Raw genomic sequence first — 22109 nt, forward strand, 5'->3', positions numbered from 1 at the left:
CACACGTGCACTTAAAATGTCCTTTTCTCTGGCCGGGCGCGGTGACTCACACCTGTAATCCCAGAACTTTGGGAGGCTGAGGCGGGCGGATCACCTGAGGTCAGGAGTTCGAGACCAGCCTGGCCAACATGGCAAAACCTCGTCTCTACTAAAACTACAAAAATTAGCCAGGCATGGTGGCGGATGCCTGTAATCCCAGCTACTCAGGAGACTGAGGAAGGAGAATCACTTGAACCCAAGAGGCGGAGGTGGCAGTGAGCTGAGATCGTGCCATTGCACTCCAGCCTGGGTGACAAGAGTGAAACTCCATCTCAAAAAACAAAACAAAACAAATTTCTTTTCTTGCACACACCAATAAGCACTGCTTTGAACTTTGGTCCCCAGACACCCAGGGCAGAGATGACGTGCAAAACCCAGTCCTGGGGATAAGCGTTCTCCATACCTGCCCTCCAGAAACAGGAGCCCCGTCAGAGGTGTGCCCGAACACCAACGTCAGCCCTTTGGGTGGCTTTCTGTGGGCGCCTCCCAGGACAGAATGCACAGGGCCCTCTCCTGCACTGTGGCGTGGTTAAAGGTGGCGGCCTCAGGTCCTTGGTGTTGGTGCCCTGTGATGCTGCCCTGGTATTCTGTGCCTTCTGCTCTGAGGCCACCGCAGTGTCCGTGGCTACTACAGAGACAGAAGCAGTGCTGGGCACTGATGGGCCGTGACATTTACATTGTAATTGTCCAGCAAACTTTGATGAGTCACTGGAGCTTCCCAGGTCAGCCTCGTGGCTTAGCTGCCATGCGGGGTTTCTTTGGAGCTGAATCTTGTTGGTATTCGAACATGCGAGTGGCTTGTCTACACACTGTGCACCCCTGGGTTTTAGCAAGAATTCACTCTTGTATCCAGATGCAGGCATGTGCCACCTGCCATCCACAGATGCAACGTCTGCTGGGTCAGAAGCCGTGATGAGGGTCCCTGTGGTTGCTGTTCCTGTCCAGCCCCGTCTTTTGTGTGTGATATCTTCGTTGTGGCATATTGCTTCACTTAAGTGCTTCCAGGAGAAACAGTTCCATGTAATCCATGCTCTTTTATTTATATTGCTTTTTCTTATTTTTTATTTTTTGAGACGGTGTCTCACTCTGTCGCCCAGGCTAGAGTGCAGTGGCGCAATCTTGGCTCATGCAACCTTCACTTCCCAGGTTCAAGCGATTCTTGTGCCTCAGCCTCCCAAGTAGCTGGGACTACAGGCATGAGTCACCTCACTCAGCTAATTTTTGGATTTTTAGTAGAGAGGGGTTTCACTGTGTTGTTCAGGCTGGTCTCAAACTCTTGACCTCAGGTGATCCGCCTGCCTCGGACCTCCCAAAGTGCTGGGATTACAGGCTTGCGCCACCGTGCCCGGCCTTATTTATATTTCTAAATAGTGCCTGTGGGGATGTTGGCTGGAAACCAACCCCCTTGTCCTGGGCCCACCAGGGGAGGAGCCACAGCCACAGTGCACGTAGCACTGAGCCTCTCCCACTCCTGCCCCCATGCCCACCCCAGGGTCGCTTGTCTCATCTCTTCCCCAAACCCCGGACCCTTTACACCTTCCCTGACGTTCACATGTCCTCTGCCAACACTCCACATAGCAGTGCAGGTCAGAGCTGCTGCTGCCCCAGAAAGAAGACCTCCTGAGGTTCAGGGACATGGCATCTGTAACACGGTCACCAGCTCTAGTTAGCGTGTTCTGCCCGTACATGTGTGTAGGGCATCCCCTATCCACATGCAGAGCAGTTGCCAATTGGCTTACAGTCACTGTGGGTTAATCACTCACTAAGAATGTTCCAGGAACCTGCATTTCTTTGTGGAACACTTTGGTCCATTTTCAGTTTTTGTAAAGAGGTGCCGTGTCGTCGCGGGGGTCACCCTGGTGGGGTGGACTCAAAACTGCACAAGATGTCCCCAGTTCAGAGCTCCTTACCGAGGCCCTTGGGGATCAGGCTTTGCTGTGACAAACAGTGGCTTGCTTAAATACCGACCAAATGGCCCTCCTGATGGGGTTAAAACAGGCGATCCATGCCAGTCTTCCCTGGAGCACGGGGGGGCTTCCTCCCACCTTTGTTCTGCCGATCACAGTTGCCCTTGGAGCTCCTCTTGTCCTGCTTTCAGGAGTCACTGGTGCTTTAAGACTCAGCTGGAGATGAGTCGGTTGGTGCCTTCTTTCTCTTCACAAACTGGAATTCCCTGGAATTGCCCATGGGCCATGTGACCTGAAAGTGGTGCTTCTTCACCCCCTGCACTGTCCTGTTTGTTTTAGAGAAGAGGCCAAGATCCAAGGTTCGTCCACACCTGCCAGCGGGTTTTCCTGTATGGGAGGGGGCTGCAGTCAGGGCAGCCAGGAGCTGCACAGGAGGGATGCCCGCCCCTGTGTTGGCAGTCTGTCTCCCAGCACCTCCGCAGATCCGGGTGTGACGACGCGGCTGCATCCCATGAATACGGGCCCGGCGCCGCTGTGGGAGTAAGTAGATGTGTGCCCGCCCTGTAGGAGTCTCCGGCGGACAGTGTGTCAGTAAGTCAAGCTCTTTGCAAGTCTGTAATTATTAAGACCTAGAGGTAAGTCATGTCCCAAGAGCCCCTCTCTTCCCAGGGAGTAGGGCCAGGGTCCATTTCATCCAATACAAATAATCGGGAGAGGCCAGGTTTTAAGGTTTCTCGTCCTCTGGGATGAGTCAGCCTGATGTCGGGGAACGGGGATGGGAAAAGGAAAAAGCTCTGGCGGGTCATGTCTGATATTCTCCACCCACCTCCCTATGTAGGGGGAGAAGCTTCCTTTAAGGAAGAGTCCCCCTTAATTTATCTGTCGCTCAGAATCTGAAGGCTCAGACAGCAGATTTTCCCAGCTTGAGATATATTTGCTTTGGAAAATCAAGCAGTACATGTAATTATTAGCACCTGTCTGCTCATATAAACATGTAAAAGGCATTGCCCCCTGGATCCCCCCTCCCTCAAAACGAATGAAAGGACCTGTTTAAAGGGGCGTAGGGAACAGCACAAAGTCCACATTCCATATCCGCAAATCACAACCAGGTTTATTCCCAGGCGTGGCTGTTGGGGAGGGTGGGGGACAGATCACATTATTTGCAAAATCTTTGAGGCTTCTGGTATTTTGTGTACTATATGTAAGAGATTTTTTTTTTCAATGTCAAGATATTTTACTACATAATAGAAACCATTCTAATATTGACTGTAATGAAAAGATAAAGGTTACTGATGAAAAATACAGAAATATAAATGAAAATGTACGTTTAAGAAGTGGCTGGTTTTAAACCAACCCAGCAGTAAAATTCAGTGATTAGTAAAGCGACATGAATTTTTTTTTTTTTTTTTTTTTTTTTTTTGGAGAAGGGGTCTCACTCTGTTGCCCAAGCTGGAGTGCAGTGGTGTCTTGGCTCGCTGCAGCTTCCACCTCCCGGGTTCAAGCAATCCTCCTGCTTCAACCTCCCGAGTAGCTGGGATTACAGGTGTGCACCACCATTCCTGGCTAATTTTTGTATTTTTAGTAGACACAGGGTTTCGCCATGTTGGCCAGACTGGTCTCAAACTTCTGGCCTCAGGTGATCCGCCCACATCAGCCTCCAAAAGTGCTGGGATTACAGGCATGAGCCATTGTGCCCAGCCTTAGCTTGTAATTTCTGAGTGGAATAAAAAGGCTAAACAAAGCAAAGACTGCTCTGTGGAGTGAAGAGAGAGGGTTTCAGAAATGGCTGTGTCCTTTTTTTTTTTTTTTTTTTTTCCAAATATCTCTGCAAACTGATGTTACACTGTGTTTCCGTCACCTTTCCTGTAATTCTGAGATTTTGAAAGAACACAGTATAGATGGGTGCCATTTTCTTTTCATTTTGCAACCCTCCGTTCTGTACGCTTTAATCCCAAACAGAAAACACACCCGTTGAGCGTTCCGTTAGATCAGTGGACTTGATTTTTCTCAGCATGTGAAGATTTCAGTTTGGAAATCTGTTCCAAAGAGGAAGGTCTCCAGATTTGTGATCCCTGGAGCTCTGTATGACTCACAAATGCGTAGTAGGTTAGGACTGAATCTGCGGCTCTAGTGCCGATGGCCTCCCGCCTCCAGGATGTCCCCAAGGCGGGCTCCAGCGAGGCCGGCTCGCAGCCTTCCATGCGGCTCTGTTTCCCATCTGAGAGGGAGGCCCCAGGTGTGAAGATCGGGCAAGGTGACAATGCCAAAGCCCTTAGAACACTGCGAGATGCCAAGAAACGGAGCGGCGGGCACACGCCCGGGCCTGGGCATGGGAGACAGGCAGGCTCACAATTCAGAGGTATTGGGGTTTTTCATCTCTCCAGATGCTTACTCTATTTAGAATAAATGAGTGGAGTCTAACTTTCCATCAGCTCATTAGCAGCTGTACAGAAGTAACATTTTATTAGACACGACCAACTAAATCACTCGGCACCCAACTGAGATGCCGGAATTGAGCCCGTGAAGCCCGTAGGAGGGAGGCACCTGTTGCTGTTGGTTGATACTCCCAGCCTGGGCCCCGACAGCGCCTCAGCTAGAATTGGGGGTGTTATCCGAGTGAAGTGGTTTCATCAGGTGTGACTTTGCCTGCAGGCGTGACTTTGCCTGGATGAAGCCATCTTGCTACAGCAGTGCAGGTGTTCAACAGTTCTAGGCTGGCGGGGAAACAAACGCAGTCATTTGGACTGATGGCTTTATCTTACCCTGGTGCTTTTCAAAATCATCTGTGGAGGAAGCAATGCATTCTTTTTTTTTTTTTTTTTTTTTTTTTTTTTGAGACAGAATCTTGCTCTGTCGCCTGAGCTGGAGTGCAGTGGCGTGATCTCGGCTCACTGCAATCTCCGCCTCCCAGGTTCAAGCATTTCTCCTGCCTCTGCCTCCCGAGTAGCTGGAATTACAGGCACACCCCACAACACCCCTGGCTAATTTTTGTATTTTTAGTAGAGACAGGGTTTCACCATGTTGGTCAGGATGGTCTGGAGCACCTGACCTCAAGTGATCTGCCCACCTCAGCCTCCCAAAGTGCTGGGATTACAAGGTGTGAGCCACCCACCATGCCCGGCCGGGAATGCATTCTTTTCAGTGTGTTGAGAAACCTGATTGATAAGGCATTTTTTTTTATTTATTTCAATAGAAGCTAAACACAGAGGGGTTACTGGTATTTCTGGTATTTTTAAGGAATAACTGCAAAAACATTTTCAGTTTGATGCCTGGAGTCTCTGCTGGTTTTTTAGCTCAGAAGAAAGATATTACATAGATCCTGGCTTCAGGGCCAATTTTGTATACTTTTTAATTAAATATATTGATTTTCTCTGGAAAGCATTTCCATCCCAAATTGGACATTAAGACTGTTGCCAAAATGTTTACTTTTGTGTATTAATAATAAAACGTTTATATGAAGAAATAACCCATCATGATGTTTAACTTCTTCCCTAATTCGTGAGTAGAATCCCTGCAGGTAAGAATCTATTAACAAGATATTATTGATGGTGTGTAAGAGGAGTTTCTTTTTTCTAGTTTCAGTACTTTCTAAATTTCCTATAATGAACACATCTTGCTCTCATAGAGGGAAAAAAAATCCATGTCATAGACAAATTTTTTTTTATTGAAGACCCTGTAGCTCATAGTAAACATGGATTTATGACTACATAGAGATAAAAATCCACTTCATGTAGTTATTACCCCCCTTAGCAAAATACAGGTAATCCCCTGCCTTTTTTTTTACTTTTTATTGAAATTTTAAAATAAACATAGAGAATGCCCATGTCTGCATCATCCCCTTCCACAATGAAGGGCATTCACCAACCTTGTCTCTGCCCCTGTCCCTGCCCCTGCCCCTTGCTGGAGCATGAAGCACACAAACATGGTGGAGGAGGTTCATCTGCAACCCCATGTGCTCCTCCAGTAATCTCACACAGTAACGGCCCCTCCTGCCTGTTCAGCCTCGACTTGGCTGACGAGGCATCTGCTCCTCCTCCTGCCCAGCGCCTGGCCCTCGCCCACACCCCAGTGGGGCATCTCATGCCCTCGTGGGAACCCCGCAGTGTTTGTGCAGATCTCAGCCAGGGTGCTGGGTGCTTTAGGACGGGAGATCTGCTCCCTAACTGGTCTTGTGTGTAACATGGCTCCCAAATACAGACACGAGCGGAGTTAGCCACCAGCGCTCCCGATGCTCAGGCCAGGACTTGGGCCCCGGGAGCCCACAGCCCCACTCCACCATGACAAACGTCAGACGAGACGGAAGCTCAGGATGTGACAACGTTTTTAATGCAAAGTCAACCATTAGCATCTTTCCCATGTACTTATTAGATGTGAAATGGCAGGACTTCACGGCCCCGTTTGCATATTTTCCTACTCCGCAGACGAATAATATTTTCAGGGAAGGCAGCGCAGTCTGTGCCGTCACAATCGGGCGACTGTGGGTGATGAGGGATGATGATTTTCCAGGAGGCCCTGGGGTCAGAGGACTCCTAGAGGGAGTTTCCAGCCCCTCAATCGCAGATGGATGGCCTGTTGATGTTGTAACTGGGGTGGAAGTTGAGCCGGTCACAGGAGGTGATGCAGTTATCGGGGCCAGTCACGATGCTTTTCTCCAGGTAAACATTGAGAGTATTGTTCCGGAACATTCCACCCGCTGCAAGTTGTTGGGAAAATTTATTCGAATTTGGATAAAATACTTTCTATAAGAGATAAAGGAACACGGATTAATGACGTATAATACTCTTGAGCAATCCGTTGAATATTTTTGAAAGAAAAATAAGAATTCATAAGAAAATGCAGAGAAGCCAGAGTGGGTAGGATGGCCTGGCTCACCCCAGACCATCCTAATCCATGCCCGATGCCTGGCACTTGCTGTTAACACTGCCCCCGGCACTGTTCTAAGGATAGAAGAATGAGCTGTGGGGCCACCTGTGTGCCATCTCTACCTCAGGATGTGGCTGTGAGCATCGCCTTGGGGGTCAGTCCTGGAGTCACCCCCAGGTCTGCTTTTGCTCACTGTGCTACTCTGGGAAAGCTGCCAGCCCTCTCTGAACTTCAGTTTTCTCTTCTATGGAATAGAAATGATATCCATGTCAGTGGGTTTCAACCTTAACTGGGGCTGGGTGCGGTGGCTCACGCCTGTAATCCCAGCACTCTGGGAGGCTGAGGCAGGTGGATCGCCTCAGGTCAGGAGTTCGAGACCAGCCTGGCCAACATAGTGAAATGCCGTCTCTACTAAAAATACAAAAATATTAGCCAGGTGTGGTGGCGGGCGCATGTAATCCCAGCTACTCGGGAGGCTGAGGCAGGAGAATTGCTTGAACCGGGGAGGCGGAGCTTGCAGTGAGCCGAGATTGTGCCATTGCAGTCCTGCCTGGGCAACAAGAGCAAAACTCCATTGAGAAGGGGTGTGCTGAGGCCACTCGTGTGGGCGGGCACCCAGTGGTAGGAGTTATTCTAGCAAGACAGCATCATTAGGTGACTGTGACATTCCTGAAGCGAGTGGTCTGGACCTCCGCCAAATATTTTACCCCATACGGGTGACCTGTCCTTAGAGGATCCTGTGCCACGCACATCACCTGATGTTTCATCTCCTTGGCAAGAAACAAGTGCAAAGAGAAAACTTTTCTTTGTTTTTGAGAAGTTTTAGATCTATAGAAAAATTGAACAGAAAGTACGGAGAGTTCCCAAATTACCTCCCTCAGCAAACACAGTTCCCCCTGTCCTTAGCATGTCGCACTTGTGTAGCACACTTTTTACGGTGGAGCCAGTGTTGATACTTTATTAGTAACTAAAGTCTACATTCTATGGGTGGGACAAATGTATCATCACAGGGATCCGCCCATGCAGTATCATGGAGAGGAATTCCCTTCAGTGCATTTTTTTTTTTTTTTTTTTGAGATGGAGTTTTTGCTCTAGTCACCCACGCCGGCGTGCAATGGCGCCATCTCAGCTCACTGCAACCTTCGCCTCTGGGTTCAAGCAATTCTCCTGCCTCAGCCTCCCAAGCAGCTGGGATTACAGGCGCCCACCACTATGCCCGGCTACTTTTTGTATTTTTAGTAGAGACGGGGTTTCGCCATGTTGGCCAGGCTGGTCTCAAACTCCTGACCTCAGGTGATCCACCCGCCTCGGCCTCCCAAAGTGCTGGGATTACAGGCGTGAGCCACCACGCCCAGCCTTTCAGTGCACTTTTTAATGCAAAGCATTTATCTTCTATTCCCACATGGGAGGTAAACAGCTTCTCCGGCATCCACCCTTGGTCACGAAACTGGAAAAGAGACTCCAGACGGAGCAGGTGGATAAGAAGGAGGAGAACCTCCTTGGAAACTTGTCAGTAGTACCTCATGCCTCCTACCCCACTGCCTGCTCCCATCAGTGACCTGAAGGCTCCTACCATTTACAATAGGAACATTTTTTCATGGCCTTTTATAAAACCTAAAACATCTGGACCCATGTTAGTGAGTGTGCTGGGTTTTTTTTTCTTTTTTTTTTGGTTTTTGTTTGTTTGCTTGTTTGTTTTGGTAACAGGGTCTGGCTCTCACCCAGGGTGGAATGCAATGGCATGATCAAGGCTGACTGCAGCCTCAACCTCCTGGGCTCAAGCAATCCTCCACCCTCAGCCTCCTGAATAGCTGGGACTACAGGTGCATGCCACCACACCCAGCTAATTATTTTATTTTATTTTTACAGGGATGGGGGTCTCATTACGTTGCCCAGGCTGGTCTTGATCTCTGAGCCTCAAGTGATCCTCTCACCTCAGCCTCCCAAAGTGCTGGGATTACAGGCGTGAGCCACCGCATCCAGCTGTGTCTGGTCTTTTTCATAGAAATACCTGATCCCCAGGGAAAACTCAGGGTCGTCTGATTACGGGAGAGTGATTCTCAAATGCTCCAGCATTTTTAGATAAGTAATCTTCTCACAAGGGCTCAGTCACTCACGCCACACAACTAAATAAGCACTCACCAGACCTTTTCAGTGATGAATGCTTTGACAACGAAAATACGTCCACAACATTCTCACCCCAGAATGGCTGGCCCAGTGTCCCAGGTGTGCAGGAGACACCGCACTAGTCCCTCTGTCCATTCACCTGGACCTTCATGGGGTTTGGTGTGGGGAGGTTCTAGGAGGGCCATCCTGGAGCCTAAGGTCAAGCTCAAAAAGGGTTTGGCTTCCCCAATGGCCCACAGACTCCTGTGCCCACCAATACAACTTGCCCACCCACAAGCTGTGCCGTCAGCCAGTACTGCCTCTTCAGGTTACACGTTAACATCTCATAAAGTACAATTCCAAAAAAAAAGTAGCCCTTCATTTATTTGCCTCAGAACTGAGCACCGTAAGTTGCAGGAGATGGTTGCGTGTGTGTGTGTGAGACTGCTGTGCGTGTGGTTGGGTGTATGGGGGCAGGGTGATGTCAGCAAGTCTATATCCTCCTCTTTTAAAACACTCCACTCCCAAATTCATTCACTCATTTAGTTCCATCCTACCCTCTCCCAAAGCGATTTTGGGAACCTCCCTCCTCCCCATTTGTGATGCTGGAACTTTGGCCTCCTCCCTGGGTGCACCCCTCCCCGTCTCATTGTTGACCTGTTGAGAACCCCAGGTTTTTAGCCTCTTCTTGAGGCCACCCACCCCCTGCCCCCCATGCCCGGTCTTGCATCCCACTTACAGGCATCTCGTGCACGGTGGGGGCTCTGCTCCCGTAAGCCTGGTTACTGGTCCTGTACACGGAGACAGCCTTCTGGGTCCTGGTAGATGAGAAACACTCTATTTTCATTCATTTACTCTAATTCTGCACAAGCCACAGCCTTGTATTTGGTTGACGGCACTCCCCTGGAAATGCCCCCATGGAAAGAGCAATATGCCCGGGCTGGTGATGTGGCCTCGAAGGCAGCCTCTGGGAGTACCTGGCTGATGACCGTTCTGAATGGCCCGGCCTCCCCGGCCCCCTCTGCTTGCCACTGTCCCTGCTCTTCCAAGGCAGGCCAAAGCCCTAAAGAGCAGGCAGCCAGCAAGTGCTGATCCCCAGCCCTGGCAGGGCCTCGGCACATGCTGCAATTTCTGGGTAACCTAGCTTGTCAGGAGCGGAGGCTTGGCCTCCAGACCCTGCCACCCAGAGGGTCCCTCTGCCTCTGAGCCCCCACCCTCACTGAGGCTATGCTTCTACTGGTACCACTGCCCCTACCTGTCAGTAGGACAGGCTACTGAGAGGCTGCAGGCCCACGACATAGCTTTACTTTATACTCCTAGATCTTGGCCAAGTTGTTCCTTCTACATCCCAGTCATCTCAATGCGAGAATGAGGATACTAACAGACCCTGCCCTAGAGGACTGTTGAGGGACCAAATGTGTGATGAGCACGGCAAGATGTTTGCACCTGCCTACAGGAATTGAGTTTCTTACTACTTCTTAGCCTGCAATGCCCTGTGGCAGCTCAGAGCTGGCTGAGTCTACAGCAAGACAGTGGAGGTGCTGCTGTGCTCACGCCCCGCAGCGGAGTTTCAGGGTAGAGAGGAGAGGAGACTCACCCGACACAAATCAGTGGAGCTGAGACCACAACTGGGCTTTCTCCCCCCACGGCCCTGCCCCCCACTGCCCTTATCCCCACTTCCTTGTATGAGGCTCTAGGGAGCACGGTCGCCGCTCACTGGCGGGCGATGACAGCGCGGGCCCCGGATGACCACTCGATCTTCTTGATTTCTGTAGCTAGGACCTTGGGGGTCTTGCGGGGTCTCTCACACACGGGGCTATCGAGCAGTGGACGCCAGGACCAGGCGGGCCCCAGCTTCCTCACCTGTAGCCCCGGAACCACCCCGGGTTGTTGAACCTGCCCGGCAGGTCCGCGCTCACGCGGTAGTAGTCGCTGGTCCTCTCCGGCGGGGCCGTGGCCTTGGGCGCCACAGGCTCCGCGCACGCTCTGGGGCATTCCTCAGCCATTGTGCCTGGAGGAGAAGCGGGACTCGGCGGCGTCCTGTTGCCAAGCGACGGCCAGGTCACGTGACTGGGGAGCGAGCGGAGGGGCCTTAAAGGCGCCGCGCGTGGGCCGGGTTCCTCTGCGGGTGGGTCCGGAACCTGCCGGGCGACTCCCCAAGGGCCGGGAAGGTCGGGACGGCGAGAGATTCCCTGCTGGGACCGTCGTGTGAGGCAGCCCCAGGCCCCCAGCCACCCGCGGGGGGACCGGGCCACCCCAGCATCAGGGCGTGGACTCCCGGGCGAAAGAAACCCCAGGGCCTGGGACCCCGCCAGCCGGGTGACGGGGTTTAAGCACTGCAGGTCCACTCGGCAGGCAACGATTGGACTTTTGCTGTCCAATGTACTCCAGGGATGCTATGCCCCCCAGCACCCCGAGTCTAAATTGAGACCCGAGATCTGGCTAACTTTATGAAATTCTCCTAAGCCAAATATCGTTTAAATATTACAAACAGTTTTGGAGAGCGAGAGGTTGCGCAGGACGTGGTTCACAGCTCACTTGGCGGGAGGCGAGGGTCCCCATCGCCCAGCGGGCTTCCCCAAGGGTCAGGGGCCTCCCGGGCTGGCCGGTCCCATTAGCAGGGCGGGGCGAGCTGCAGGGCGAGGACCGTGGCTCCACTCCCCGCCCGAGACTCTCAAGCCCAGGACCCCGGGCCCTGACCCCTCGCGTGCCCCGCCCCCGCAGGGAGGTCCCAGCCGCCTGGGGACAGCGCTGTGGCTCCTCCGGGCCTGTAGGCGGCACTGCGGCCCCGCGCGGATGGCGACGGAAGGGGAGGCCGCTCGGCCTGGCCTGGAGGGAGACCTCGCTCTGCCCCGCGTCCCAGCCATGGCGACATCCTCGGCCGCGCTGCCCCGAATACTCGGCGCGGGTGAGCGCGCGCTTGCGGGACCCTGGGGAGGAGCATGCGAGGAGGATGCGGAGGGGCGCGGGGACCCGATGGAGCGGCGGGGACGTGGAGGGGACCCGGGGCGAGCGCGGAGGGGACTCGGGGAGGGCGCGGGGACGCGGAGGGGACCCGTTAGGGACGCGGAGGGGCCCGTTGGGGATGCGGTGGGGAGCGGGCGTGGTGCATTCGGGACTCGGCGCCAGGACCTCTATCTACTTCCCCCCAGGTGCCCGGGCCCCGTCGCGCTGGTTGGGCTTTCTCGGGAAGGCGACCCCCCGGCCTGCTCGGCCGAGCCGCAGGACGCTTGGAAGCGCGACGGCCCTTATGATCCGCGAGTCGGAGGACAGCACCGGTAACACTGGGCGCCCAGCCGAGTTGGGTGGGAACGAGGAGAGGCCGGCAGCCGCGGGGGATGCGAACCCTAGAGGGGCCTGGGCGCTGCACGCGGTCGAAACTGCGCGCTCCGCTGGGCTCCTCCCACTCCCGTGCTCGCCGCCGCTCGGTCCTGCCTGACGTAGCACAGCGGGCTGAGGCCACCGCCTCACCATGGATAGGGTGAGAGGGAGCGGGCGGGCCAGTGGTTAGCACAGGCTTCGCTCCCTAGGGGGGTGTCACTGGACCACCGAGGCCCGGAGCCCCGAGCTCGCCCAGGCGGGCCCAAGTGACCTGGGGGCACTGGGCTTGGAGTCTGCCCACCTTGCTGGACTCCTGATGGGGACTTTCTGGCTGGCCACCTGAGACCACAAGGCGGGGAGGTGCCAGAAAGACCTGAGCAACCCGCTGGGCCCCTCTCTTTTTCTCCTCTGTCTTCCAAGTAAGACCAAGGGACGGGGTTGACCAGGTTCGACCAGGCTTACCCAGGAGCAAGGTCGGGATCAGAACCTGGCTCCAGCCCTCTGTTTCCTGAAAAGGTCCCTGTGCTTCCAGGTCTTTCCTGGGGCTGCTGGGCTCCCGGCTCCCCACCTCGGTGTCACAGAAGGCACTTGGGAGCAGGGGTGGGCGGGAACTGCGCTCTGCCTGTCTCTGCTGCCACCGGTGGGAGACGCAGCGTCGCTCCTCCTCCCTGCCGTAGATTTCAACGACAAGATTTTGAATGAGCCCCTCAAGCACTCTGACTTCTTCAATGTCAAGGAACTGTTTTCCGTGAGAAGCCTCTTCGATGCCCGAGTCCATCTGGGACACAAAGCTGGCTGTCGGCACAGGTAGGTGACACCCCCATCTGAGCCCGGGGCGGTTCCCAGGAGGAACCTGGGACCTGCTCTGGTTCTAGGGCCACTTTTGAACTGGCCTATGTCAGTTTTAGGTGATTACAGCCCCATCCTCCTCCACATGGGAATACAGAGCCCCACAGAGAAGCAGGAGTTTATTCCTCAGCTTGGCGGACGCTCTTGTGTGCCTTGGTGTGGCGCTCACAGCCCTTGATAGGGCAGGCCTGCTGGGGGTTGCAGGACTCCACGGGTTCAGAAATGGAAAGGCTGAGGGCAGAACCTGTAAGGTTGGTCCCCCCGGATCGGGCTGGGCCTTCTGGGCTGCGGGGAGGAGGAATGACTGGTCCTGTATTCTCACATGGTCATTTTGACTGCTGTGGGGGGAGGGGATGGGAGGGGCAGGTGGGAGGCCAGGGAGGAGGTTGGTGTGGGCGTTCAGGGTGAAGGTGGCGGGGCTTAAATCGCAGTAGCGGAAGAGCTGGAGCAGCAGGTGGACATGAGGCAGCAGGGCAGAGCCAGTGGGCCTTGGGCTGGGGTGGGAGGTGGCTGGGGCCGAAGGGATCAAACACCTGCTCTTCGGGTGGAGCCTGGTACTGGTTACTGAGATGGTGAAAACCAGGGGAGACCTGGGGGACATCACAAGCTTGGTTCCTACCAGGTATGAACCCTTTGCTGCCCCAGTGGAGAGGTCACACGGTTACCAGGAGGGATGGGCCTGGGCCCAGGGAGCCATCAGCATCGGGGGCTGGCAGGTGTTTCCAGAGCATCGGAAAAGGAGGTCCAAGGTGGAGCCCTGGGTGCTCCAGTGTTTGGAGTCAGTGAAGAGGGACAGCCGGGGGTAGGGGAGATGTGGTTCTCTGTTGATGCTGCTGAGAAGTGAATTCAAGGCTGTGACCTTGGCAAGATGGAGGTCGCCAGTGCCTTGATGGGCAGGGTTGCTTGAGAGGAAGGGACAGAACCCAGTGGGAGTAGACTGGAGGTGAGGACCTGGGAACCGCAAATGTGGATGACTCGCCTGTCACGCACCGAGAGGCGGGGGTGTCTCCCATGCCCCGCTTTTCTCAGCCCAGGCCAGCAGTGGTCCAGTGCTTTGGATCAGGGTTCCCCGCCCAGGCTTGGCCACTCCTGCCCTGATCCCTTAATGCTTTTGGCCCAGAGCACCCCGCTAAGTCCAACCCCAGAGGGGCCTCATCCGCAAAGCCTCGGGAAGAGGACAGTGACGGAGGCGGCTGCCCTGTGAGCTGCACGGGGCAGAATGTCCTTTTGGCGTCATGTTGGATGTCCACACATCCATATGGGGTCAGTTCTATTAGGATTCCTTCGGGAAGAGGTAGAGGGTAGGAGGGGTTAAGCCACGAGACGAGGCATGCAGAGGGGTGGCCTGGATGGGTCTGCACTGCTGTCCATGCACACGGGGAGCGTTGCAAATTGTGCTTCCCAGCCCATAGTGCCCCCACAGAGGAGCCCGGGAGTCCCTGGTGGGCGTCTGTGTTCCTGCAAGGAGCCAGTGGAGATGGCCCCGTGAACTCTCATCCCCCTTGCCTTGGTGGGGTCTCTGGCAGGTTTATGGAGCCGTACATCTTTGGGAGCCGCCTGGACCACGACATCATCGACCTGGAACAGACAGCCACGCACCTCCAGCTGGCCTTGAACTTCACCGCCCACATGGCCTACCGCAAGGGCATCATCTTGTTTATAAGCCGCAACCGGCAGTTCTCGTACCTGATTGAGAACATGGCCCGTGACTGTGGCGAGTACGCCCACACTCGCTACTTCAGGGGCGGCATGCTGACCAACGCGCGCCTCCTCTTTGGCCCCACGGTCCGCCTGCCGGACCTCATCATCTTCCTGCACACGCTCAACAACATCTTTGAGCCACACGTGGCCGTGAGAGACGCAGCCAAGATGAACATCCCCACAGTGGGCATCGTGGACACCAACTGCAACCCCTGCCTCATCACCTACCCTGTACCCGGCAATGACGACTCTCCGCTGGCTGTGCACCTCTACTGCAGGCTCTTCCAGACGGCCATCACCCGGGCCAAGGAGAAGCGGCAGCAGGTTGAGGCTCTCTATCGCCTGCAGGGCCAGAAGGAGCCCGGGGACCAGGGGCCAGCCCACCCTCCTGGGGCTGACATGAGCCATTCCCTGTGATGTTCACTCTCCTCCCAAAGCAAACCACAGCCAAGCCTGTCTGAGCTGGGAGTCCCCTTCCCCAGCCCTGGGTCAGCGGCATCCTCAGTCGTTGTTACTTACTCAGCTGATGTCACAGTGCAGACATCCACCGTTCCACCACAGAACCAGTGGCTGAGCGGACCAACGTTGCCATGTGCGTTTGCTCTGTGGGGAACAGAGCACAGAGGGTGAGCGACATGTGCAGAACGGCCCCTTGGCTGCAGTTAGGACCTCAGTGGCTGGTATGGCCAAGCTGCTAGAAGATGCTGCTGTCCCTGTGATCCCAGCAGCCCTCCCTTCACCGTGACCCCTGACCTTTGTCAGGAAGGTGCAGTTTTTCTTCTCAATCTAAATGCCTTTCAGGTGGGCCGCTTCCTTGGCTACCTGGTTCCAGGGGGCTGTTTTGTAATGAGATGCTGCTGGCAGGCCACTCAGAGGCTCCCAGCTGGGTTGGTGGGACAGCCAGGCCAGATGACCTGATTCCAGCAAAAATAAAACTCAGATTTGGGCAAAATGAGACTTGGAGTTTGGGGCTCTGTCTCGAGTGGGTTTGCTTTCATCCATGTGGTGTGGTTTTTCTTCAGGCACACACTGGGACCCCAGTGATGAGAGATGGGACGGGCACTGTGTGTGTGAGGCGCATGAATGAGGTCAGCAGAGGTGCCAGCTGCCACTAGAGGGCACCGTCTTCAGCAGTGGAGCTCGTGACAAGCCCACAGCCCGGCCAGCCTCATTCAGCAGAACAGGCTTGGTGTGGACCCAGTTTCAGGAAAGACGGGCACTTGCTGACAGGGACGCTTAACATCCCTCACCTGTGGGGATACAGCTGTGTTCCTGGAACAAGCTGCGGCCTCCTCCCAGCCCCATCCCGAGCTGCTTAGGACATAGGCCCCCCATGCACCTGACCACCCAAGGAGCCGTCTCTGGGCAGAGTCTGGGCAGCAGGGCCCTGTGGAGTCTGGTGCCCTGGGTAGGGTGAGGCCTGCCCTGCAGGAGCGGCACAGGGCAATGGGAGGCTGGAGTCCAGCGCCTATCCCTGTCCCTTCAGGGTTAGGCTGGTGAGGGGTTCATGGTAGGTGTCCCCAGGTTTGTCACAGGTTTGTGATCTGGTCGGGACAGGGAGCTGAGCTTCAGGTTGGTCTCTGGCCAGCATGGCTTTAATTTGCAAAGCCGAAGTCTGAAGATGCACGTGTATAAAGGCAGGTGAAGTGAGGGCCCCTCCAAGGCTCCCCCTAGAATCCCTCTCAGGGTGGGCAGGTGAGACACTCTGAGCTGGGTCTCCTGTCCCACCATGCTGGGGAGGCCAGCTGCGGGGAGCCAGGACCCTGGAGATGAGACAGGAGTACCAAACACTGGGGACTGACTGGGGGGCTTCCAGGAGGTGCCCCTGGAGCTGCGACTGATCCTTCCCTGGGAGAGGCCTTTGTAGCTTGGGTCCAGGCCTGGCCCTTCTCTGCTAAGCCATTAGTGAGGACGTTGCAGGCAGCTCCAGGGGTTGGACCTCAGGAGACACAGTGGGGCACAAGCCTACAGGAGGGACGGGGCGGTCTCTTCTGGGGTCATTAATTTTGAGGCCGGGTGGAGGGGAGCAGCCCAGGCAGAGCTGTGGCTAACCCAAGGCGCCTTGTAAGAATGGTGGGGGCTGGCAGGCCCGGGCAGGCTCCCTGGGTCCCGACCGGTCCCCCTTACCTTGCGCTGATGGCCTGCGTGGCTCCTGTTGTCCTCCCACTGGCCCCTGCACCTGGCACAGGCCGGCGAGGACCCGCTGAGGAGCTACGAGTGGGCGCTTGCTGGGCTTCCAGGGCAGGAGGGGCCCTGGCCGAGGGGATGACCCAGTGGATAAGCAGGCACTAGTGACCATGAGGAGCAGGGAGGGACGGGAAGGGTGCAGCGCAGAAGCCGCGGGGGCCATGCTGGGACAGCCAGGGTGGGCCTGAGGGCCCCCTCGGGGAGTGGAAAGAGCCAGCTCCCAGGATTCAGAGGGGCTCTGGGTGAAACAAAGGTTGAGGGCTGAGGGGATGGGGTCTCGCTGACCCCATCCTTGACTCTGCCAGGAGGGGCCCTCCAAGTTTTCCACCCTGGAGATGAACCCCAAGAGCCCCCAGAAGAGGCCAACGGAGATGATGAGAGTGCCTGAGGCTGGGGAAGGGCAAGGGAGCTGCCCCAGGAGTGGGGAGAGGGGCCCCCCGGCCCTTTCCTCCTGTGGCCACAATGCCTGCAGGCCCCATTAGAGGTGGCCTTCTCTGGACTGTGGCAAGGCTGTGCCTGGACCAGCTGGTGTCCCAGATGGTGGGGAAGACCAGAGGCAGCCACCAGAGGATGGGCCTGGCAGAGCTGGCTCAGGGCAGGGTGGGGTGGGGAGGGCCAAGGAGCCTTTCCAGCCCTGCCGAGGCTGGGCCACTCCCACTCCTGAGGCCCGGAAGATCCCTATTTGCCTGGAGGAGCTCAGGGCAGCCCTGAGGTCAGCACAGGCCAGGCTTCCGCTCTGATCCCCCGCAACCCTCCCTGGGTGTGTGGGGGGAGGGGACAAGAGGGGAGAGCCTGCCCTGGGCAAGAGCAGGGTGTTGGGGCAGGAGCCTAGCGGCCCATGAGGATTGAGGCCAGCTGGGCCAGCTACTGATGTGGGCCCTCTGCTGATGTGGGCCCTCTGCTGATGTGGGCCCTCTGCTGATGTGGGCCTCTGCTGATGTGGGCCCCAGCCCTTGAGATGGATCTCATGTCATCCTGGCTGGAGGTCTACACAGACACGGCTCTGTGCCTGATCCGGAGAGCAGAAGGTCAGGTGGGCAGAAGTGACAAGGGCCGGGCCGGGCTCTGATGTTCCTAGGTCGCTGTCTCTGCAGAGCTCCACGCAGGAGACTGGCCAAGGGGGCGACCCCCACTCTCTCCCCAAGTGAGGGACAGGGACTCCTCGACACCAACAAGGGCCAGTGCTGGCTGGGGGTGCAAGTGTGCAGGGGAGGTCTCCACAACCAGGGCCCCTGGATGGCTGGGAAGGCCTCCTGCCCAGATGTCACCAGGTGGCTCCCAGGGTCCTGCTAGAGTTCTGCCTCTCCAGCAGCCCCCAAGTCCCAATCCCAGCACCCTAGGCCTCCTCCCGCCCTCACCCCACCACCGTCCAGCCCCAGCTTGGCCAGGTGCAAAGTGACTTTTCATATTCCTATAGGAAGGAATAGCCCAGAAATTCTTCCTGAACTTCTCCAATTCACATGATGGCGATGAGCGACTGCATTTTGTTCATGTTCATATGTTTGGGCCGTCCTCCCTTTGGCTCACCCCAGAGTGAAAATGAGTCAGCCCTGTTCCTGGATGAGACCTGCAGGGTGGGAGTCCCCACGCAGGCTGCACAGAGAAGCTAGAGCGTCACCTGGGGGCAGAGCAGCGACCGTTCCTCGTTCCTGCTTTCCTGGGCACGTGTGGAAGCTTTGCCCCCACCCCACAGATGCTGGACCTGCTGTTCCACAGGCGAGCGTGTCCCGCTCCACCGCACAGGGGCTCCTCGCTCCCACACCCACCAACTGTGGGTCTTGGCAATGCCCCTTCACCCCTCTGAGCCTCGGTTGGTTTGTGTGAGAACTGGGAGCTAAGGGGACCTCGTGAGGCTGCTGTCAAGCCTGGGTGGGACGGGCCGTGGAAAGCGCTCTGCTCACGCCTGGCCCTGGGGAATGGGCTGCCCGGGCTGTAGTGTTCTTATTTATGATTTTCCTCTCCCCTCCATGGGGAAGCTGTCTGCCCTAGGCCTCACTTGTATGTGCAAAGCAGTTTTCCCACCTGTAGAGAACATTCCAGATTCCATGTGGGAGGTTCCCATCCTAGGTATAGCAGAGCAGGACCCTCTGGGGAGGGCTGAAGAGCCCAAGGGCCACTCAGATATCTGGGAAGGAGCTGGTTGGGGCTCATTCAATCAACAAACATGAAGCTGCCCTCCCGGACCTCCCTGAACCCACAACAGCGTGTACGCACTGATTAAACAGTGTGGAAATAAGGAACAGAATGTGGAGAGGCACAGAGGCAAATGTTTAGGACGACTTTTGTTCTATTGAAAGTGTTTAAAGCCCGGATTTTCTTGAAAGATTTCCATGATTTAGCACAAGGAAAATCTTACAGATGAGGACACTCGTATCCAGAAGGTGGAGACATCTGCTCCAGTCACAGCCAGTGTGGAACCTTGGCAGAGTTTGGGTCTCTGAAAGCAGACAGGGATTCGGGGACATGTTGTTTGCTGCAGCTGATCCCAGGAAGCCTGAGGGAGGACCTGGGAAGGTAGGCCTGGAGGTGGGAAGCCGGTGAGTGGCCTTGAGCAAACCCTGCAAGTGGGGACCCCACTCAGCCTCACAGGGAGTCCAGGTCCCACCTGGATGGGCTCTGTCCCCATGAGTGGAGGGTTATCCCTGGGAGATTAATGCCCTTGCTCTGCTGGCTGGTGCAGTGTAGAGGAGAGGAAGCCCCCGTGGTGCCTGAGAGAGCCCTCAGGAGGGACACATGCAGGCGTTTCATGGGATGCCGTGGCCTGATGGAGACCAGCTCCACCAGCTGCAGGTGGACTCGGGTGGGCTGAGGAGACATGGGTGGGTCAGCAGCAGCATGGCCACCCCAGCTCTCCCAGATCCAAGGTGCACTAGCCAGAATCTTGAGTGAGAATCAGGAAATAAGAGAGACACGTGAGCCTTGATAAGCTGCCACATGCCTCTGGTGATCTAGAAGATTCTGCTCATGTGCAGGGCTGTGTCCACTCAGGAAAAACCAGAGAGGGTCCTAGCTCTCTACTCATCCTTGGCTAAATATGAGGCCTTACACATGTTCAGAGGAGACAGGAGGAGGCCCAGAAGACAAGAACATCCAGGGCAGACTGGTAAACTTCCAGAACCTCGAATGCATTCCTCACCCCGCACACAGACCCACTGGCAAGAAGCAGAAGGCTTACTGGCTCAAGGCATTTGGGCACCACCTCTGACCAGGTATTGGCTGATCACTAAGATATGGTGACCCAGGAACAACACTTAGGAAGCCAGAATTCAAAATAAAAAGAATTAAAGTAAGCCATGTTAAGAATTAAAGTATGATGAAAATGACTCATTAGAGAAAATACATAAGGAGATACTCATTAATTAAAAAACTGAATAGCTATTCTGGAGCTGAAAAGTTTAATAATCGAAATGGAAATTCACTGGAAGGGATGGACAGCAGATCTGAGGAAAGAATCAGGGAAATTTGAAGGTAGATCAGTAAAAATGATCCAATCTGAAGACTGACAGCAAAAACTAATAATAAAGGAAGAGAAATGAACAGTGCCTTGAACCTGTGGGAAACAATCAACATATTAATATTCACATAATCAGAGTTCAAGGAGAGGAGAAAGCGAAGGGGCAGAAAAAATATTCAAAGAAGTACCTACTTGACACAAAAGGAAGCAGGAAAGGAAAAAAGACATGAGACATATCAGAAGCAGATAGCCAAATGTCAGAGATAAATCCAACCATAGCAATAACTGAACTAAATGTAAATGGATTAAATACTTCAATCAAAAGGCAGATACTGACACTGTGGTTGAGAAACAAGATCCAACTTTATGCTCTCTAGAGCCTAGAGCAGAAACGTTTCATATTCATAACACAAATAGGTTGAAAGCAAAATAATGGGAAAAGAAACACCATGCAAACCATAACCATGAGATGTGGAGTAGTTTTATATATACATAAATATTGTTTGTTTGTTTGTTTTGTTTTGAAATGGAGTTTTGCTCGTGTCACCCAGGCTGGGGTGCAGTGGCACAGTCTCGACTCACTGCAACCTCTGCCTCCTGAGTTCAAGTGATTCTCTTGCCTCAGCCTCCCAAGTAGCTGGGATTACAGGCATGTGCCACCAGGCCCAGCTAATTTTTGTATTTTTTTTAGCAGAGACGGGGTTTCACCATGTTGACCAGGCTGGTCTCAAACTCCTGACCTCAGGTGATCCGCCTGCCTCAGCCTCCCAAAGTGCTGGAATTACAAGCATTAGCCACCAGGCCCGGCCAGGAGGAGTTATATTAATATCACACAAAATAGACTTTAAGACAAAGCGTTAACTAGAGATAAGGAGGGGAATTTCATAATGAAGACAGCATTAATTATTCAGGAAGATAAAATAATTATAAATGTTTACGCATTTAACAGCATGGCCCTCTGAGTATATGAAAGTTATAGCCAGTGTGATATGGCAAAAAAAAAAAAATGAAAACAAACAAGCAACAGCACCAAAACCAGAAACAAACAAACAAAAAAAGAATTAAAGAAGAGATTAAAGTTCAAAATTACAAAGGAAGAAGTAAAATGACTTTTATTAACAGAAAACATAATCCTGTGTGTCGAAATCCTAAGGAATCAACGACGAACTGCAATAAATGAGTACTGCAGGGTCACAAGATTCCAGATCAATATTCAAATATCAACTGTGTTTCTCTATCCTAGTAATAAGCAATCCATAAATTAAGCCAAGAAAACAATTCCAATCACAATATCCCTCAAAAGAACAACATACTTTTTTTTAAAAAAAAGAACAAATTTAACAAAAGAAGAAGACTTGCATACTGAAAACTATAAAATATAAAACACTGCTGAGGGAAATTAAGGATGTTGTAAATGAATGGAGAGATACTCCATGGTATTAGAAGACTTGGTATTGTCAAGGTGGCAGATATCCCCCAACTGATGTACAGATTCAACTCGATCACTCAGAAAATCCCAGTTGGATTTGCTTGTTTCCAAACATTGACAAGTTGATCTTAAAATGTATATGAGACACCAAAACATTTTTTCAAAAGAAGAATAAAGTTGGAGGTCTTACATTTCTCTCTTCAAAGCTTCCTGGAGTGACATCAATCAGGACAGTGTCATCCTGGCATAAAGA

The 22109-nt window shown here is 54.0% G+C and overlaps 2 protein-coding genes and 1 long non-coding RNA gene across 9 annotated transcripts, besides 9 other annotated features; 1 reads left to right on the forward strand and 2 right to left on the reverse strand.

Annotated features, from left to right (window-relative positions):
* Positions 57 to 768: an enhancer, noted in NCBI's record as "H3K4me1 hESC enhancer chr9:138380833-138381544 (GRCh37/hg19 assembly coordinates)". NCBI's record gives its function as "activates a minimal SCP1, AML or CMV promoter by ChIP-STARR-seq in naive H9 embryonic stem cells {active_cell/tissue: H9 hESC(naive)}" and the evidence as "EXISTENCE:reporter gene assay evidence [ECO:0000049][PMID:30033119]".
* Positions 1480 to 2190: an enhancer, noted in NCBI's record as "H3K4me1 hESC enhancer chr9:138382256-138382966 (GRCh37/hg19 assembly coordinates)". NCBI's record gives its function as "activates a minimal SCP1, AML or CMV promoter by ChIP-STARR-seq in naive H9 embryonic stem cells {active_cell/tissue: H9 hESC(naive)}" and the evidence as "EXISTENCE:reporter gene assay evidence [ECO:0000049][PMID:30033119]".
* Positions 2191 to 2901: an enhancer, noted in NCBI's record as "H3K4me1 hESC enhancer chr9:138382967-138383677 (GRCh37/hg19 assembly coordinates)". NCBI's record gives its function as "activates a minimal SCP1, AML or CMV promoter by ChIP-STARR-seq in naive H9 embryonic stem cells {active_cell/tissue: H9 hESC(naive)}" and the evidence as "EXISTENCE:reporter gene assay evidence [ECO:0000049][PMID:30033119]".
* On the reverse strand, positions 6251 to 10939 carry PIERCE1 (piercer of microtubule wall 1). 2 transcript variants are annotated; one of them, NM_144654.3, is made up of 3 exons: positions 10779 to 10939; positions 9655 to 9733; positions 6251 to 6639 (listed from the first exon to the last, which is right to left on the reverse strand). In NM_144654.3, the coding sequence occupies exons 1-3, from the start codon at positions 10919 to 10921 to the stop codon at positions 6583 to 6585; spliced, it is 279 nt and encodes a 92-aa protein (NP_653255.1). In that variant the 5' UTR covers positions 10922 to 10939; the 3' UTR covers positions 6251 to 6582. The 2 variants fall into 2 exon arrangements, with proteins under 2 accessions (NP_653255.1, NP_001041730.1); NM_001048265.2 differs by having other exon boundaries at positions 6251 to 6685.
* MRPS2 (mitochondrial ribosomal protein S2) lies at positions 11035 to 15743 on the forward strand. Of its 6 annotated transcripts, none has more exons than NM_001371401.1 (5): positions 11035 to 11121; positions 11640 to 11823; positions 12068 to 12193; positions 12914 to 13043; positions 14612 to 15743. In NM_001371401.1, exons 2-5 carry the CDS (start codon positions 11781 to 11783, stop codon positions 15201 to 15203), a joined length of 891 nt encoding a protein of 296 aa, NP_001358330.1. In that variant the 5' UTR covers positions 11035 to 11121; positions 11640 to 11780; the 3' UTR covers positions 15204 to 15743. The 6 variants fall into 6 exon arrangements, 2 of the variants coding, with proteins under 2 accessions (NP_001358330.1, NP_057118.1); NR_051968.2 differs by lacking the exon at positions 11035 to 11121 and adding an exon at positions 13139 to 13336 and having other exon boundaries at positions 11752 to 11823; NR_051967.3 differs by lacking the exon at positions 11035 to 11121 and adding an exon at positions 14206 to 14348 and having other exon boundaries at positions 11752 to 11823.
* Positions 11042 to 11211: a silencer, noted in NCBI's record as "silent region_20485". NCBI's record gives its function as "represses an Ori minimal core promoter by ATAC-STARR-seq in GM12878 lymphoblastoid cells {active_cell/tissue: GM12878}" and the evidence as "EXISTENCE:reporter gene assay evidence [ECO:0000049][PMID:35858748]".
* Positions 11482 to 11651: a silencer, noted in NCBI's record as "silent region_20486". NCBI's record gives its function as "represses an Ori minimal core promoter by ATAC-STARR-seq in GM12878 lymphoblastoid cells {active_cell/tissue: GM12878}" and the evidence as "EXISTENCE:reporter gene assay evidence [ECO:0000049][PMID:35858748]".
* Positions 11862 to 12021: a silencer, noted in NCBI's record as "silent region_20487". NCBI's record gives its function as "represses an Ori minimal core promoter by ATAC-STARR-seq in GM12878 lymphoblastoid cells {active_cell/tissue: GM12878}" and the evidence as "EXISTENCE:reporter gene assay evidence [ECO:0000049][PMID:35858748]".
* Positions 11977 to 12601: an enhancer, noted in NCBI's record as "H3K27ac hESC enhancer chr9:138392753-138393377 (GRCh37/hg19 assembly coordinates)". NCBI's record gives its function as "activates a minimal SCP1, AML or CMV promoter by ChIP-STARR-seq in primed H9 embryonic stem cells {active_cell/tissue: H9 hESC(primed)}" and the evidence as "EXISTENCE:reporter gene assay evidence [ECO:0000049][PMID:30033119]".
* LOC101928525 (uncharacterized) lies at positions 14343 to 17517 on the reverse strand. The gene is made up of 3 exons (NR_121579.1): positions 16914 to 17517; positions 15306 to 15389; positions 14343 to 14771 (listed from the first exon to the last, which is right to left on the reverse strand). It is a non-coding gene; the product is annotated as an uncharacterized LOC101928525 (long non-coding RNA).
* Positions 15253 to 15407: a silencer, noted in NCBI's record as "fragment chr9:138396029-138396183 (GRCh37/hg19 assembly coordinates)". NCBI's record gives its function as "represses an EF-1alpha promoter that drives an FKBP-Casp9 reporter gene in an ReSE screen in phorbol 12-myristate 13-acetate-treated (for megakaryocytic differentiation) K562 erythroleukemia cells {active_cell/tissue: K562(+PMA)}" and the evidence as "EXISTENCE:reporter gene assay evidence [ECO:0000049][PMID:32094911]".
* Positions 16436 to 17409: an enhancer, noted in NCBI's record as "H3K4me1 hESC enhancer chr9:138397212-138398185 (GRCh37/hg19 assembly coordinates)". NCBI's record gives its function as "activates a minimal SCP1, AML or CMV promoter by ChIP-STARR-seq in naive H9 embryonic stem cells {active_cell/tissue: H9 hESC(naive)}" and the evidence as "EXISTENCE:reporter gene assay evidence [ECO:0000049][PMID:30033119]".

The sequence above is a fragment of the Homo sapiens genome, chromosome 9, assembly GCF_000001405.40.
Source record: "Homo sapiens chromosome 9, GRCh38.p14 Primary Assembly".
Taxonomy (NCBI): domain Eukaryota; kingdom Metazoa; phylum Chordata; class Mammalia; order Primates; family Hominidae; genus Homo; species Homo sapiens.

Bases quoted from the DNA above. Each gene is read 5' to 3' on its own strand.
- PIERCE1 (NM_001048265.2), bottom strand. From the start codon at position 10,921: ATGGCTGAGGAATGCCCCAGAGCGTGCGCGGAGCCTGTGGCGCCCAAG. The intron at 9,734-10,778 runs GTGAGGAAGCTG...CTCATCTACCAG, and splicing joins GGGTGGTTCCGGGGCTACAG to GACCCAGAAGGCTGTCTCCG. The intron at 6,686-9,654 runs GTAAGTGGGATG...TATCTCTTATAG, and splicing joins CCACCGTGCACGAGATGCCT to AAAGTATTTTATCCAAATTC.
- MRPS2 (NM_001371401.1), top strand. From the start codon at position 11,781: ATGGCGACATCCTCGGCCGCGCTGCCCCGAATACTCGGCGCGG. The intron at 12,194-12,913 runs GTAACACTGGGC...TCCCTGCCGTAG, and splicing joins CGAGTCGGAGGACAGCACCG to ATTTCAACGACAAGATTTTG. The intron at 13,044-14,611 runs GTAGGTGACACC...GGTCTCTGGCAG, and splicing joins AAAGCTGGCTGTCGGCACAG to GTTTATGGAGCCGTACATCT.